The sequence below is a fragment of the Homo sapiens genome, chromosome 2 (genome assembly GCF_000001405.40).
Source record: "Homo sapiens chromosome 2, GRCh38.p14 Primary Assembly".
Classification (NCBI taxonomy): domain Eukaryota; kingdom Metazoa; phylum Chordata; class Mammalia; order Primates; family Hominidae; genus Homo; species Homo sapiens.
The window spans coordinates 86,952,079-86,969,409 of NC_000002.12; the positions used below are offsets into that span (position 1 = coordinate 86,952,079).

General features: G+C 39.9%; 1 protein-coding gene across 10 annotated transcripts in view; it reads left to right on the forward strand.

Annotated features, from left to right (window-relative positions):
- Nucleotides 1-17,331, forward strand: part of RGPD1 (RANBP2 like and GRIP domain containing 1) — a 100,318-nt gene that overhangs the window by 38,420 nt on the left and 44,567 nt on the right. For all 10 annotated transcript variants that reach the window (XR_007074605.1, XR_007074622.1, NM_001410915.1 and 7 more), the window contains 6 exons: nt 864-975; nt 1,420-1,572; nt 5,628-5,858; nt 6,204-6,349; nt 10,951-11,146; nt 17,150-17,237. Coding sequence is in view for 8 of the 10 variants with exons in the window: in NM_001410915.1 (NP_001397844.1) it covers nt 864-975; nt 1,420-1,572; nt 5,628-5,858; nt 6,204-6,349; nt 10,951-11,146; nt 17,150-17,237 (926 nt within the window). In the remaining 2 variants the exon portion in view is untranslated. The remainder of the gene's footprint in view (nt 1-863; nt 976-1,419; nt 1,573-5,627; nt 5,859-6,203; nt 6,350-10,950; nt 11,147-17,149; nt 17,238-17,331) is intronic.

Consider the following 17,331-nt stretch of genomic DNA (forward strand, 5'->3'; position numbering starts at 1 on the left):
TCACTATGTTGCCCAGGCTAGTCTTGAACTTCTGAGCACAGCAGTCTGCCTGCCTCGGCCTCCCATACTGTTGGGACTACAGGTGTGTGTTACTGCTCCCAGCTGGGAGGCAGGCTTTTAAAGGCATCCAAAGGAAGATGGAAATGCTGGTAAGAAAGGAAAATGGTGGTACATAAATTATGTAACTAGCAGCACTGTGACTGTTAACTCTTGTACCTTTTTACTGTGAGACTTTAATCCCTTAGTTTGGGTCTGGCCTAATTTCTCTGATGGTAATACTGTCAAGGAACCTAGAGGATATTTACTTATTTTAGTTGTTACTTGATTTGAGAAATGGAAATTTCCTGTATTTGGTACTGTAATTAGTAATTTGTCTTCTGTTCGATTTTAGCTGGATATAGTACTGTTAGAAATTACTTTCTTGCTTAAAGGGTAGGTGTATTTCCCTTTGTTGTTTGGGAAATTGTTGCTGTTTAGTATTTTGCATTATGATAACTTTAAAAATGTTTACTATAATCACTTCTAATTTATTTGCAAAACTGTTAGTGCTTTATTAAAATGTGATCAGGAAGAAAAAGCAATTTATATGTTCATTTCTTATGCGTGGATAACACTGGAGAAAAATTTGGTAAATGTGACATTTAATGGTAAAACGAGTATGTGGTCAACTCTATGTACGTGTTTTTAAGTATTACCCATTTCTTTCTATGAATACTTCTGAGTTATCTGCATAAATAGTGGTAGTTTTGAGTAACAATATAAACGAGTTTAGTGGTTGCTTTGGTTTAAGATGTATTCTTCGGTTAGCATTTAAAAGTACAGTTCTAAGTTTAATTTACTTTTGTATTACTTTTGAAAAACAGATACGTATGTACTTACCTTAGTGTGCAAGAGAGGGATCCCAGAGCTCACAGATTTCTGGGTCTTCTTTATGAATTGGAAGAAAACACAGAGAAAGCCGTTGAATGTTACAGGGTAAGTTATAGGATTCAAATATAGCCTTTGCATAGCCAAACACATGATGCCCAGAGAAATTTATATAAGTAAGTCAAATATATTTTATGAATATCATAAAACAGGCATTGGTATCATAGTACAATTATGTGACACAGCTTGGAACAGATTTAGAATTGTTTAACACCTATAAATTGTAAGTCTAACATGGTCAGAAATGGTGTTCTTTTGTGTTCTTTTGCATTCAAATGACACAAATATAATTTTTATTTGATTCATTTCCAGAAAATTCCAAGACACTTTTATTTTAACACCTTTGAAGTAACATGTTTTCTCTAGAAGTAGAATTTTTTAAGGGTTGGAGTGATAATTTTTAACCTTTATATATAAGTATATAAGTATATATACTCCTACATACATACATACAATTTATTTACTAATCTTTAATTTCTTTTCTGATATTAGCGTTCACTGGAATTAAACCCACCACAAAAAGATCTTGTGTTGAAGATTGCAGAATTGCTTTGTAAAAATGATGTTACTGATGGAAGAGCAAAATACTGGGTTGAAAGGGCAGCGAAACTTTTCCCAGGAAGTCCTGCAATTTATAAACTAAAGGTAAACATACAAAACATAAAGGGAGAAAACTTAAGACATAACCATTTCTAATATTTGGAGTTTAAATTACTTTTCAATAGCAAACCTTAAGCCCAGGTGTTTGTGTTTCCTTTAACATTTTTCTTTTAAAAAGTGTATTAAAACCTTTCTGAGCATCTGCTGTCTTATTAGGCATTGTTATACTTTATAAGTGACATCTCATTTACCCTTCTGGAATAATTAATATTTTAGGGATTTTACAGTTTAGTAGCTGTAAACTAAGTAGAGCTAAGATTTACATTAAGTTCTGTCTGGTATACAATTTTTGCTTCATTAAGTGAAAATTACCTACAGGATGACAATTTAGGGATATTTTAAAGAAGAGTTTTCTAATAACTATGGTCTGAAAGTAGAAGGGATTGTATTTTGAGATAGTAAAGTTTTCAAGGAAAAGATAAAAGGTGGTTTCTCTAGTATATAAGATGTAATTACTAAAAATGGTAGGAAGTTCTTGCTAGTGTATTGACTGGTCCTGATATTCTTTATAGAGCAAAATATAGTTTACTAAGTAACTGTTCTGGAGAAAATCTACACAAATATGTTTGGCAAACATTTAAAATGTATATTGTAATATTTTATATATTAATGTATACTTTATTGTGTATGTACAATATAAAATTATAAATGTATATTTGCCTTTAGCCTCCTCCTACCCCCATTGTATATGTTTCTGATAGAAATTTAAAAAATTTTAATTTTGAAATAATTATAGATTTTTTTGCACAGGAAGTTGCAAAGATTGCACAGAAAGATCCTATATGCTACTTCATTTTTCCCCAATGCTTATACAGGTTGAGCATTTAAAATCTGAAATCCTAAATGCTCCAAAATCTGAAATTTTTTGAGCACTGACATGATGCTCAAAGAAATGCTCATTGGAAAATTTTGGATTTCAGATTTTCAGATTTGGGATGCTCTGCCTGCTAAGTATCCTGCAAATATTCCAAAGTCTGAAAAAATTCAAAATCTGAAATACTTCTGGTCTCAAGCATTTTGGATAGGGGATACTCAACCTGTTTAACCCGACCAAAGCACAATATCAAAATCAGGAATTTTGACATTGGTACAATGTGTATGTATAGTTTTCTTTCATTTTATCATGTGTAGATTCATACCACCACTACTGTCAAGATACAGAGCTACTCTATTACCACAGAGATCTTCCTCATGCTGCCCCTTTTGTAGTCATGCTATTTACTTCTCTTCACTATGCCTGACCTCTGGCAACCATTAATCTGTTCTCCATCTTTATACTTTGGTGATTTCAAAATGTTATGTAAATGTCATCATGAAATGTGTGACTTTTTTTTTTCTTTTTTCGTTGTTTTTGAGACGGAGTCTCGCTCTGTTGCCCAGGTTGGAGTTCACTGGCGCAATCTCGGCTCACTGCCACCTGTGCCTCCCAGGTTCAAGCAATTCTCCTGCCTCAGCCTTCCGGGTAGCTGGGACTACAGGCACATGTTACCGTGTCCCGCTTATTTTTGTATTTTTGCAGAAACGGGGTTTCACCATGTTGGCCTGGCTGGTCTCGAACTCCTGACCTCATGTGATCTGCCCACCCCAGCCTCCCAAAGTGCTAGGATTACAGGCGTGAGCCACCGCGCCCAGCCAAGCATGTGACCTTTTGAGGTTGGCTTGTTCAGTCAGCATAATACCATTTGTGATCCATATTAAGTTTTGTATATCCATAGTTGGTTCCTTTACTTCTGAGTAGCATTTCATGGTCCACAATTTAACCATTCACTTTTTTTATTTTTATTTTTTTGAGACAGAGTCTTGCTCTGTCGCCCATGCTGGAGTGCAGTGGTGCTATCTCGGCTCACTGCAACTTCTGCCTCCCGGGTTCTCAGGTGATCCACCCACTTTGGCCTCCCAAAGTGCTGGGATTACAGGTGTGAGCCACTGTGCCCAGCCTTAACCATTCACTTTTGAGGGGCATTTTGGTTATTTCTAGGTTTTGGCTGTTGTTCAACTGCTATGAACAATCATGTCCAGATTTTTGAAGCTGAAAAAGCATTGAAGATGCTTCCAAAGATAAATATTACTGATAAGTTTTTCTCCCCAGTAATAAGCAGCTGGATTTTAAATATTAGTCTAAAACATGAGGTCTAATTGTGCAGATTTCTTTACTCTCTTAGGTGTTATGCCTCAAACATAACTCCCATATTGGGCGTGGCAATCCAGTTAATCTGGTGTCAGTAGTGTTAAAGAACATATGTAATGGCAGGAGATTGTTTTCTTGCAGTGTAACAAGTAAGATACTTTGAAGCACTCTTTAAAGATTTTCTTTAATAACTTGAAGGCACTGTTAACACCTTTCCTGTATCAGATTTTTTTTTTTTTTGGAATTGAAATCCATGAGATTTATAATTGTCATGCAAAGTAATTCCATTTCTCCTAAAATTTAAGGCTTGCTAAGGTAAACAGTTTCTGACATTTGTTTAATGAATGAGAGTATTACTGTTGAGAAGGCTTTTTCTCTCAAGTATGAGATAGAACTTTTTAAAAGCACTCATAGTGGTTTTTTAAAAAATGTTTAACATAGAGTCAAAGACTAGGGCTTTTGCAATAGGGAGAGACCAGGGTATCATCCATCTCATCCAGAAGAGGAGAAATTGATAAAGGAGAGAGGGGAATGAAATACAGAGTAGTAATGGACGGCTTGGTCTTGAGAGCTGGGGAAAGACGAGTTTAAGTAGGTAAGGTAAAATGGAATTTATATGTGATAGCATCAGGTTTCTCAGTGAAGGATGAATCTAGGTTATAAGTTGAAAGTGAGGGTCAAAGGAAGGTATGGGGAAGTTGAGGAAATAGGAGGAGGTGTGAAGTGTCAGGGAGTGGAGAAAGTGAGTCTGTTAGTACTAAAATGGCATTTTGTTTTAGGCAGCACCAGTTTGATGGTTGAGATAATGCAAATGAAATCAGTTAGCTTGGGGTTATGATTTCCCAAATCTAAGCACACAGAAACCAGTTGGGAGGGTTCTGAGGAAAAGAGGGAATTAGTTGAAGGGATCTGTAAGCAAACAGTAATTATGGATATAAGGGATTATAGCATTTTTTGCCTGACAGAAGAAAGTGTGTGTATATGTGTTTACAGGTGCTTAAAACTTGATGATGTTATTGTCTTGAAGGGAACTTGTCATGTGGTGGAGAAGTATATTTCTGAAAGTAAGGGTACGTAGGCCCTCAGTGAGGTGGAAGAATAAGAAGGATGGTATGGTCGTTTCGGTGGTATGACCAAAATGCAGATTTTGAAGACCTGTGTCAGTGGCAAGTGGATGGTTGAGGTTGGAGTAGAGGATAACATGACTGGAGATGAGGTGATTAAGGAACTGAGTAGTCAGCCTGGGCAACACGGCAAGACCCCATCTCTACAGAACGTTAAAAAAAAATTAGCCGGGCATGGTGGTGCATGCCTATGGTCCTAGCTTCTTGAGAGGCTGATGGAAGAGCATCGCAAATGAGAAGCGAGTGGCCACAAACCCTACTTCCTCTCCTTGTATGTAAGTTCAGAGAGAAAAAGCCATCATGGTAGTGGGGGTTATCCTGAGATGATACTGTCTTCATTTAAGATCAGGAGGTGATGACAGTGCTTTGAGATGATGATGAAGGTAACAGAACAGTGGGAGGAGAGGGGATGTGGGATTGAGTCAGATTTAAGGAGATACAGAGCAGTTTGAGCATAAGGACCTTGTTGCTGAGGATTGACTGGGGAGGTCTAGGCTTCTGGTGGTGACTCAGATGGACAGGGATGTGTGGCAATAGTCCTGGTAGTCTCTGAAGAGAGTATGAGCTACTGCAGTAATCACAGATGCTTTTCTTCACATACAGTTCTTGAGGCTTAGTTTCTGGGTTGTAAGCAACTCTCAGAAGGGACGAATAAGGTATATAGGATGGTGTTTTTGGTGGCATCATCATAAAACTAGACATAGTGGAATGGTGCTTTTTGGGAGCATGACTTGTTTAAAATTGCACAAGTGTTACTCTAATAATTTTTCTTTTTCCCCTCTAAATAGGAACATCTTCTAGATTGTGAAGGTGAAGATGGATGGAATAAACTTTTTGACTGGATTCAGTCAGAACTTTATGTAAGACCTGATGACGTCCATATGAACATCCGGCTAGTGGAGTTGTATCGCTCAAATAAAAGATTGAAGGATGCTGTGGCCCGCTGCCATGAGGCAGAGAGGAACATAGCTTTGCGTTCAAGTTTAGAGTGGAATTCGTGTGTTGTACAGACCCTTAAGGTAGATAAAAGCTATTGGGTCTTTACATTTCTATGTAGGCAATTAGCATACATCTTTTTGTACTAAAGCAGCAGTGCCCCGCAGGACTTAAATTTCTTTTATTTAGGTAGAACAGTTATAAAATGAAATTTTTACCAGGATCAGTTAAATTTATAATGGGAAAGTTGGGGAGATAACTATGATAAATGTATATATTTTTGGTGTTTTCATTTATAAGGTTGATGTAAAAATCAATGTAGTTTCACAAACGTGGTTAGAGTGAGAAAAGGAATTTGTAGGCATAAAATGGTTAATTTCTTAACACTTGATTAAGTTTTGTAACTTACTATTCATTCCACAAAATAGGAATATCTGGAGTCTTTACAGTGTTTGGAGTCTGATAAAAGTGACTGGCGAGCAACCAATACAGACTTACTGCTGGCCTATGCTAATCTTATGCTTCTTACGCTTTCCACTAGAGATGTGCAGGAAAGTAGAGAATTACTGGAAAGGTGCGTTGACTTTGAGGAGAATGCTTTAGTATAAATTGTAGTTTTTCTTTTTGCAGTAAGTTCATTGCTCTAAATTTCTTTACTGCATCATTATTTCTATAATGTACCTAGGAGTTATAGTTAATACAGTGAACCACTAGGAGGCAATCTTATTTTTCTTCTTTTACGGGGAAGTTCTAATTGGTTTTATATGACTTTCCTTTTTAGAGAACTCTTATAGTTCAAGCTTGATTAAAATTAGCCTTATGGTTAAATACTCAGGTTTGTCATAGTCAAGCTTAAAATGAATGTTCTAACTGCTATTTCATATTTTATTTTTTATAATAGTATAATCTTGAGTGAAAATTAAGGTTCATCTGTCATCAGATGGCTAGGTTCACATGTACTAGTATAAGCACTTAGCATCACTGGTATTTCAGAAAATACTGTTTTAGCTAAGAAACAAAATAACTCAACTATGTGATTTACCTTTTTTCCTAAATTTTGATTTTGAAAACCAGTGTCTCCATTTTGAAAATAAATTCCATTGAACAAAAACATCACTTGGATTTGTATAAAAATGTTAGTTTAGAGCAGGGGTTGGTTAGAACTTGTGGGCCAAATATGGCCCCTGCCTAATTTTGTTAATATTTATTGGAATGCAACATGCCTCTGTTTATGTATTGTCTGTGGCTGCTTACATACTACAAGGTTGGAATTGAGTGGTTGCAGCAGAGATTGTATGCCTGTAAAGCCAGATTAGTAATCTCCTCCTTTTTGTAGAAAAAGTTTACTGATTGCTAGTTTAGGCTGTCCATTTGTTTGGAAGTTAATTTATTTCCCCATCTGGTATAAGGAAAGAAGTTCATTTCACTGAGTGCAGGGAGTAGGTAATTTTCTTGAAAAAGTACATAGTGTCCTAAATTGGTAGGGTAAGAGCAGTATCTAAAAGAACTAACATAACTTTAAGATTATTTTAGAAAACATGTAGGATGTTTTATTTTGTGTTCTTTGTATACTCAAATTTTTTGGTCACAAGTTCCTTTTACATTTTTCTTAAGGACATCAAAGATCTTTGTATGTGGGTTCCTTTTTTTCTTTCTTTCTTTCTTTTTTGTTTTGTTTTTTTTTTTTTTTTTGAGATGGAGTCTTGCTCTGTCACCAGGCTGGAGTGCAGTGGCATGACCTTGACTCACTGTAACCTCCGCCTCCCGGGTTCAGGCGATTCTCCTGCCTCAGCCTCCTGAGTAGCTGGGACCACAGGCGCACACCACCACGCCCAGCTAATTTTTGTATTTTTAGTAGAGACGGGGTTCAGGATGGTCTCAATCTCTCTTTTTTTTTTTTTGAGACTGAGTCTTGCTCTCGCCAGGTTGGCATGCAGTGGTGCAGTCTCGGCTCACTGCAACCTCTGCCTCCTGGGTTCAAGTGATTCTCTTGTCTCTGCCTCCTGAATAGGTGGGACTACAGGTGCCCGACACCACACCTGGCTAATTTTTTTTTTTTTTGAGACAGAGTCTCGCTCTGTCACCCAGCCTGGAGTAGAGTGGCGCAATCTCGGCTCACTGCAAGCTTCACAATTTCCTCTCAATGCTCTGAATAAGAGCTTATCCTCCTGCCTCAGGTTGTTCCCCACCAGGAAGCCCCAGGAGGGCCCTGAGGACAGCCCTTGGCCCTCAGAGGGGGAGGCTCAGGAGGGGAGATGACCATGGGGATGGAGTCACTCAGGGGAGAATCCGGACCATGAGGGGGTGACTGGGGGCCTGAGGGGAGGACCCTGAGGAAGATAAAAAGCTGGTGCCACCCTAGGCAGTTTCACAGTGTGGCTTAGGGTGGTGGGTGACAGATGGTTTGTCAGATCAGTTAATCAGGACTCATGGGCCCTTTGTTACCCCCCCTTGTGAACCTCCCAGGTTCACGCCATTCTTCTGCCTCAGCCTCCTGAGTAGCTGGGACTACAGGCGCCCACCACCACGCTCGGCTAATTTTTTTGTATTTTTAGTAGAGACGGAGTGTCACCCTGTTAGCCAGGATGGTCTCGATCTCCTGACCTCGTGATCTGCCCTCCTCGGCCTCCCAAAGTGTTGGGATTACAGGCGTGAGCCACCGCGCTCAGCCCACACCTGGCTAATTTTTGTATTTTTAGTAGAAACAGGGTTTCATCATGTTGGCCAGGATGGTCTCGATCTTTTTTTTTTTTTGAGACGGAGTCTCGCTCTGTTGCCCAGGCTGGAGTGCAGTGGTGCCATCTCGGCTCACTGCAAGCTCTGTCTCCAGGGTTCATGCCATTCTCCTGCCTCAGCCTCCCGAGTAGCTGGGCCTACAGGTGCCCGCCACCACACCCAGCTAATTTTTTGTATTTTTAGTAGAGATGGGGTTTCACTGTGTTAGCCAGGATGGTCTTGATATCCTGACCTTGTGATCCGCCTGCCTCAGCCTCCCAGAGTGCTGGGATTACAGGCATGAGCCACCGCGCCCGGCTGGTCTCGATCTCTTGACCTCTTGATCTGTCTACCTTGGCCTCCCAAAGTACTGGAAGGTCTCAATCTCTTGACGTCGTGATCCGCCTGCCTTGGCCTTCCAAAGTGCTGGGATTGCAGGTCTGAGCCACTGCACCTGGCCGTATGTGGGTTATTTCTGTCAGTGTTTATTACATTAGAAATTAAAACAAATAAAAAATGTAATCCATTAAAAATGTAATAAGCCCTATTGTGTGTTAATAATAATAGCTTTTTTTTTTTTTTTTTTTTTTTTTATTTGAGACGGAGTTTGCTCTTGTTGCCCAGGCTAGAGTGCAACAGTGTGATCTCGGATCACTGCAACCTCTGCTTCCCAGGTTCAAGCGATTCTCCTGCCTCAGCCTCCCAAGTAGCTGGAATTACAGGTGCCCACCACCACGCCTGGCTAATTTTTTGTATTTTTAGTAGAGATGGGGTTTCACCATGTTGGCTAGGCTGGTCTTGAACTCCTGACCTCAGGTGACCCACCCGCCTCAGCCTCCCAAAGTGCTGGAATTACATGTGTGAGCCACCGCGCAGGGCCAATAATAGCATTTTTTATGAAAAATAATTATTTTCCAACAGCAAAAAAGTAGTCAGAAAAGTGTCATTGTTTTTGCATTTTTGTAAATCTTTTTAATGTCTCGCTTAATAGAACATAGCTAGATTCTCATTTACTTCCTCTTTCAGTCTGTAAAACTATTACATGTCATGAAGCCTCTAGAAAACTCAGCTCAGCGGGTCGCGGTGGCTCAGGCCTGTAATCCCAGCACTTTGGGAGGCCGAGGCGGGTGGATCACGAAGTCAGGAGATCGAGACCATCCCAGCTAACAATGGTGAAACCTTGTCTCTACTAAAAATACAAAAAATTAGCCGGGCATGTTGGTACGCGCCTATATTCCCAGCTGCTCGGGAGGCTGAGGCAGAAGAATCGCTTGAACCTGGGAGTCAGAGGTTGCATTAAGCCAAGATTGTGCCACTGCACTCCAGCCTTGTGACAGAGTGAGATTCTGTCTCCAAAAACAAAAACAAAAAAACTCAGCTCTACATACATGAGAAAATGAGTATGTAATATATAAATTTTTTTTTGGTATTATTGTAAAAGTAATTTTAACTTCATGGATCCCCTGAAGGGGTTTTTGAGCACCCTCAGAGATCTTTAGACCTCATTTGCTCTGGTTGCGTTATTGTAAGCCACTTTAAAATCATGCTTCACGTTTAAGTGTTTGCTTTTTGCTTTTACTTTTCTTCCAAAGTGAGGATTTGGAGAAACATTAGGATTTAGAAGAACTAATTTAGAATATAGATTACAAATAATAGGCCAGGCATAGTGGCTCATGCCTGTAATCCCAGCACATTGGTAAGCTGAGGCGGGCGGATCGTGAGGTCAGGAGTTCGAGACCAGCCTGGCCAACATAGTAAAACCCTGTCTCTACTAAAAATATAAAAAAAGTTTAGCGGGGCATGGTGGCAGGTGCCTGTAATCCCAGCTACTCAGGAGGCTGAGTCAGGAGAATCACTTGAACCTGGGAGGTGGAGGTTGCAGTGAGCTTAGATTGTGCCATTACACTCCAGCCCAGGCGATAGTGAGAGACTCTGTCTCAAAAAAAAAAAAAAAAAAAAAAAAAAGACAATTTATTTAACGCTGTAATGATCTATATAGTAAAAAGAGCAATTGCTGTATTGATACTCAAATACCTGTCAGTTATTTACTTATAATTTGGAAATGGTATGTCTAATTTGAGAAATTACAACTGTTAATTAAATAATGAAATTATATGATCAGGAAGAAACTACAAAATAGTCTCCCAACTTTATCCTGGTTTATTTTGAAATGTGCACCTATAATCACTAATCTTATATTTATCCTGTGATTGGAGGGCTGGAAATAACTGGGAATAAGACATCATTTGAGAGGTTAAGCATGAAGTATAGGAAGTATGCAGGATAAAAATAAGCATTAGATGATTCATAATTTATAACATGGGGAATAAGAATTATTAGAAGTTGAATGTGGAAGATGAAGCTTGAAATAAAATTTTTATTTTGTTTTGAATTAAATGAACCATGATTATTCACAGTGCAGTAAGTGTGTATCATCTGTTTGATATTTTCATATTACAGTTTTGATAGTGCTCTTCAGTCTGCAAAATCTTCTTTGGGTGGAAATGATGAACTGTCAGCTACTTTCTTAGAAATGAAAGGACATTTCTACATGCATGCTGGTTCTCTGCTCTTGAAGATGGGTCAGCATGGTAATAATGTTCAATGGCAAGCTCTTTCTGAGCTGGCTGCATTGTGCTATGTCATAGCATTTCAGGTAAGTCTTCCACTTGTAGGAGCAATTGACATTTCACGGAGTCTTGATGTGTTTTAAATGAAGGTGTGCTCTGGTATGTAATGACAATATGTGAACAAACTGTGGAATTAAAATGAAATAGTCAATTTGATACAGTGGAAAATAACTAAGCATACACAATACTGGTGAGGCTGGTGAAACAGGGATGTTGAGTGCACTCTTGTCGAAAGCCTGCATTGCCATGATTTGTTTGTAGACAAATTTGAAGAGTTTGATCTTTTTACTCTGCCATTTTTGGGAACATGATAAAGATGTAATCTCGTATTATGGGTAAAGCTTGATTCAAAAAGGTGTGTTACTTGGACAAAATCCTAATAAGTAGATGTAGGGCAATGGCTTTATAGCCTATGATAGAAGAATATGATTGCAATTTAACATGTTAATTGAAACACATGTATATAACATTTATGGCTGTATTGTGTATATGTAACAGTATATCTATTAATCTTTGAAAACATAAAACCTTTTCTTATTTTTTATTTTTTTATTTTTTTTGAGACCAAGTCTCTCTCTGTTGCCAGGCTGGAGTGCAGTGGTGTGATCTCGGCTCACTGCAGCCTCCACCTCCTGGGTTCAAGTGATTCTCCTGCCTCAGCCTCCCGAGTAGCTGGGACTACAGGCCCGTGCTACCAAGCCCAGCTAATTTTTTGTATTTTTAATAGAGATGGGGTTTCACCATGTTGGCCAGGATGGTCGCAATCTCTTGACCTCGTGATCTACCTGCCTTGGTCTCCCAAAGTGCTGGGATTACAGGCCCGAGGCACTGTGCCTGGCGTGCCTGGCCTTTTTTTTTTTTTGAGACGGAGTCTCGCTCTGTCGCCCAGGCTGGAGTGCAGTGGCACGATCTCGGCTCACTGCAAGCTCCACCTCCTGAGTTCACACCATTTTCCTGCCTCAGCCTCCCGAGTAGCTGGAACTACAAGCGCCCACCACCATGCCTGGCTAATTTTTTTGTATTTTTAGTAGAGACGGGGTTTCACTGTGTTAGCCAGGATGGTCTCAATCTCCTGACCTAGTCATCCACCTGCCTCGGCCTCCCAAAGTGCTGGGATTTACAAGCGTGAGCCACCATTCCCGGACTTTTTTTTTTAATGAGCTTGCATAACTTTTGAAAGGAAAAGAAATAAGCAGTCTTCCAAAAAAAGCATTAAACCAGGCTTAGAAAAATGATTAATTTTAGAGAAGGATTTTTTGCTTGGGGAGGGAAAAAAAAGGATTCATTACTTTTAGAGAAGGCCCCTCCTTCTAATATAAATCTTTTTTTCTTTTTGAGACAGAGTTTTGCTCTTGTTGCCCAGGCTGGAGTGCAATGGCGCCATCTGGCTCACTGCAACCTCCGCCTCCCGGGTTCAAGCGATTGTCCTGCTTCAGCCTCCCGAGTAGCTGGGATTACAGGCACACGCTACCACGCCCATCTAATTTTGTATTTTCAGTAGAGATGAGGTTTCTCCATGTTGGTCAGGCTGGTCTTGAGCTCCTGAACTCAGGTGATCTGCGTGTCTCGGCCTCTCAAAGTGCTGGGATTACAGGCAGTGAGCCAGCATGCCCTGCCTAATATAAATCTTTTTATTTTTATTTGAGACGGAGTCTCGCTCTGTCACCAGGCTGGAGTGCAGTGGCGCAATCTCAGCTCACTGCAACCTGTGTCTCCTGGGTTCAAGTGATTCTCCTGCTTCAGCCTGTCACGTATCTGGGATTACAGGCACACACCACCATGCCTGGCTAATTTTTTGTATTTTTTAATAGAGATGGGGTTTCACCATGTTAGCCAGGATGGTCTCGATCTTCTGACCTCGTGATCCACCCGACTCGGCCTCTCAAAGTGCTGGGATTACAGGCATGAGCCATTGAGCCTGGCCTGTAAATCTTTTAAAAACACCGTTGATAGACAGTTCACATGTTAAATGCTAATATTGGCTCAGTAGAAACTTCTGTGTTCATAAGGAATGGATTAGTGAAAATTAATGGATTTAGTGAGGTTCACTAGGTAATACAAACATTAAAAGGTTCTTATAGAAATTCTCAAGTAACTGATAGTTCTTATTTTTATTTATTTTATTTTTTTTTGAGATGGAGTCTCACACTCTGTCGCCCAGGCTGGAGCACAGTGGCACGACCTCGGCTCACTGCAAGCTCCGCCTCCTGGGTTCACGCCATTCTCCTGCCTCAGCCTCCCGAGTAGCTGGGACTACAGGCACCCACCACCACGCCTGGCTAATTTTTTTGTATTTTCAGTAGAGATGGGGTTTCACCGTGTTAGCCAGGATGGTCTCGATCTCCTGACCTCATGATCCGCCCACCTTGGCCTCCCAAAGTGCTGGCATTACAGGTGTGAGCCACCGCGCCCTGCCAATAGTTCTTATTTTTAATGGAAACTTTAAAATTTATCTGTCTGTGTGTCTATTAGAGTCTTGCTGTGTCACCCAGGCTGGAGTGCAGTTGCGTAATCGTAGCTCACCGTAACATTGAACTGGGCTCGAGCTTCCCAGAGTGCTGGGATTATAGGTGTCAGCTACTGCGCACAGCCTAAAATTTTTCGATATGTAGTTTTGGGAGGCAGAGTCTCACTCTTGCTCTGGCTGGAGTGCAGTGGCATGATCATAGCTCACTGCATCCTCGAACTCCTGGGCTCAAGTGATCCTCTCCTGCTTCAGCCTCAGCTCAGTAGCTGGGACTACAGGTGCCTGCCACCATGCCTGGCTACATTGTTAAATTTTTTGTAAAGACAAGGTCTTGCTATGTTTCCCAGGCTGGTTGGTCTTGAACTCCTGGCTTCAAGTGATCCTTCTGCCTTGCCCTCCCAAAGTGCTGAGATTACAGGTATGAGCCACCACACCTGACTGTGAACTTTTAATCATAATAAGTTAGTTTCCCTCTTAATCCATTCACTCAGGTCTCCTTTCCTAGATGACAGCTACTGTTAGGAGTTTCTTGGGTGTTCAGAAATATTTTTTGCATATGCAAATGTGCAATACATTCTTTCTCTGCTTTTAAAAAATATTGTGCCTCAATGTGGGTGTGCTTTACCTATTGCCAGATGCCTTGCTTTTCTGAATGTTTCTTCATTGTTCCACTTCAGCACAGAGATACCTACCTCAGTCTTTATTAGCTACCACATATTTCTGTAGAATGAATATATAATAGAAACATCTTAGATGCTTGTATTTTATTTGATCAGTTTATTTTAAAGCTTAATGAACAAATGATTATAAGCATAAAATGTAGGTTATGTGCTGGCATTTGGGTATTTAAGAATTGGCTAACTTTTATGGCAAGATTTTCAGACTCTTAATCAGAGGAATACTGTGGTTCTAGTAAGTGCATCTGCATTGCAGCTAGGTAGTTAACAAAGTATCTTGAAACCTTTTAGTTAAGATGAGGAAATAGCCAGGCGTGGTGGCTCACACCTATAATCTTAGCACTTTGGGAGGCTGAGGCGGGCGGATCGCTTGAGGTCAGGAGTTTGAGACCATCCTGACCAACATGGTCAAACCCCATCTCTACTAAAAATACAAAAATTAGCCACGCATGGTGGCAGGTGCCTGTAGTCCCAGCTACTTGAGAGGCCGAGACAGGAGAATTGCTTGAAACCAGGAGGCGGAGATTGCAGTGAGCCGAGATCGTGCCACTGCAGCACTCCAGCCTGGCGACGGAGCGAGACTCCATCTCAAAAAAAAAAGAGGAAATAGTGAATTGAGATGATTTGATTGAGTGGATTCACAACTAATTAACTGGTCACAGATTCAACTGTTGAATAATTTTGTAAAAGAGGCCGGGTTTATGAATTGAGGTCAGTTTGAAAACAAAAAGAATGATGTCAACATTTTGTTTCTTACTTTGTGTGCTCTTTTCAACATATAGATGACAAACTTTGACATGATGTTTAGAAAACTTGTGAGTAAAAGGATAGGCGATATGAATATTTCTAAAATTCAAAATCAGAAGCTTTTAGGTTCATAAATCATATATTTTGAAAAATGAGCATGTTTGGAAAGAATTATATATACATGGTTTAAAATTCTGGCGGCTCTTAAGAATATGCTATGAAGACTCCTTTCTGTTCCCTAGTTATTTACTTTCTCCAGCCCCAAAGAAACTAATGTTATTGCTTTCTTGTGTGTTCTTCAGGAAATGTTTTATGCATCTCCAAGTAAACACACATATATCCCCTGTCTTTAAAAGAAGGAGGAAAACATTTGAACATTGCATTTACTTTATTTCCATTAACTGTATCTTGGAGATGTTTCCATGTCAGTATATATAAAGGGCATTCTCATTAGTTTGGATGCTTGCATATTATTCCATTGTATGGATGTACTGTAGTTTTGGAGTTTTTAAAACCAGGGTCCTAAAACCAGGACATTAGCTTGCTTTTACTTTTTTTTTTAATGCTACTTCAAGTAATTTAGCAATGATTAACTTGTGCCATGAATTCCTGAAAGAATTGCAGTATCAAAGTATATCTGTGCATTTATAATTTTTAGAGCTGTTGCCAAATATCTAACCCTAAAGAGGTTGTATCAAATTACATTTCCACCACCAATTAAGAAAGTGGTGATAGAATTAAAAGCCGATGCTCTAGTCACCCATATAGTTACTTTTGGCATGTTTCTAGTAAGTGGGCATTGCCTGTGACTGGACGTTTTCAGTGATGGGCATTCATTACTTTTCAAGATAGCCCAGTGCATCTTTAGGTGGTTTGGCTCTTGGTACTTCCTTATATAGAATAAAAATATTCTTCAAGCCTTCTACCTGTTGGTCTTGTTTCTTCTTTTGATGATTTCTTTTATAAAATAATTTTAATACCTGAAGGCAGCTGTCACGTCTTCCCTTCGCCATTCTATTCATCATGCTTTTTTTTTTTCCATAGGTTATTGCATTAGGATCTCTTTAATTTCCTGGTTGTCCCATTTATTCTAGTGCTATCCCCTGTTATCCATACTCTGAAAATGTGTTATCTACAATGTGGCATTTCCAAGTGTCATTTCACCTGTACTTTTTAAAGTAGGGTGTCATATCTACTCAAATAGGACAACATCTGCTGTTGTCCTATTTATTCAGGGCAGAAAAGTAATATAATTAAATTTTCCATTTCTCTGAATGTAACACGAATGTGCTTTTAGTAGAAACTAATTTCTCAGAGCTGCTCTGTGTATGCTTTTTTTTTTTTTTTCTTTTTTTGGAGATAGGGTCTCACTCTGTCACCCAAGCTGGAGCACAGTGGCATGATCATGGCTCACTGCAGCCTTGACCTCCTGGATTTAAGTGATCCTCCTGCCTCAGCCTCCTGAGTAGCTGGGACCACAGTTGTGTGCCACCACTCCTGGCTAATAAAAAAAACTTTTTTTAGAGATAGGGTCTCACCGTGTTGTTCAGGCTGGTCTTGAACTCTGGGCTCAAGTGATCCCCCCACCTCGGCCTCCCAAAGTGCTGGGATTACAGGTGTGAGCCAACATGTCTGGCCCCTCTTTTTTTTTTTTTTTGCGATGGAGTCTCGCTCTTTCACCCAGGCTGGAGTGCAATGGCGCAGTCTCGGCGCGCTACGACCTCTGCCTCCCAGGTTCAAGCTATCCTTGTGCCTCAGCCTCCCGTGTAGCCGGAATTAACAGGTGTGTGCCACCACGCCTGCCTCTTTGTTTTTTTTTTTATTATTTTTAGTAGAGACTGGGTTTCACCATGTTGGCCAGGCTGGTCTCGAACTCCTGACCTCAAGTGATCAGCCCACCTTGGCCTCCCAGAGTGTTGGGATTACAGGTGTGAGCCACCACGCCTGTACCTGGCCTATCTTTCATAGGTTATATAAATTCCTTGGTTCCCAGTTTTTGCAGTCTTTTCCAATTCAGTTTAATTAATGGTTAACTGTTTATTCATTATCAAAAAAAGTACAGTGTAATAGACAAGACCATGTTACTATTAGAAGTATGGGTATCATCAAATTAAGATTTTTGATTCTAAAATTATTAGGTTCCAAGACCAAAGATTAAATTAATAAAAGGTGAAGCTGGACAAAATCTGCTGGAAATGATGGCCTGTGACCGACTGAGCCAATCAGGTAATAGTAATATTAAACTAATTTAATTTAAAAAGAAAAAGGAATTTCTGTTAAGGCATATCTTATGATAAAATCTTCATCTGTCCAGGAGATA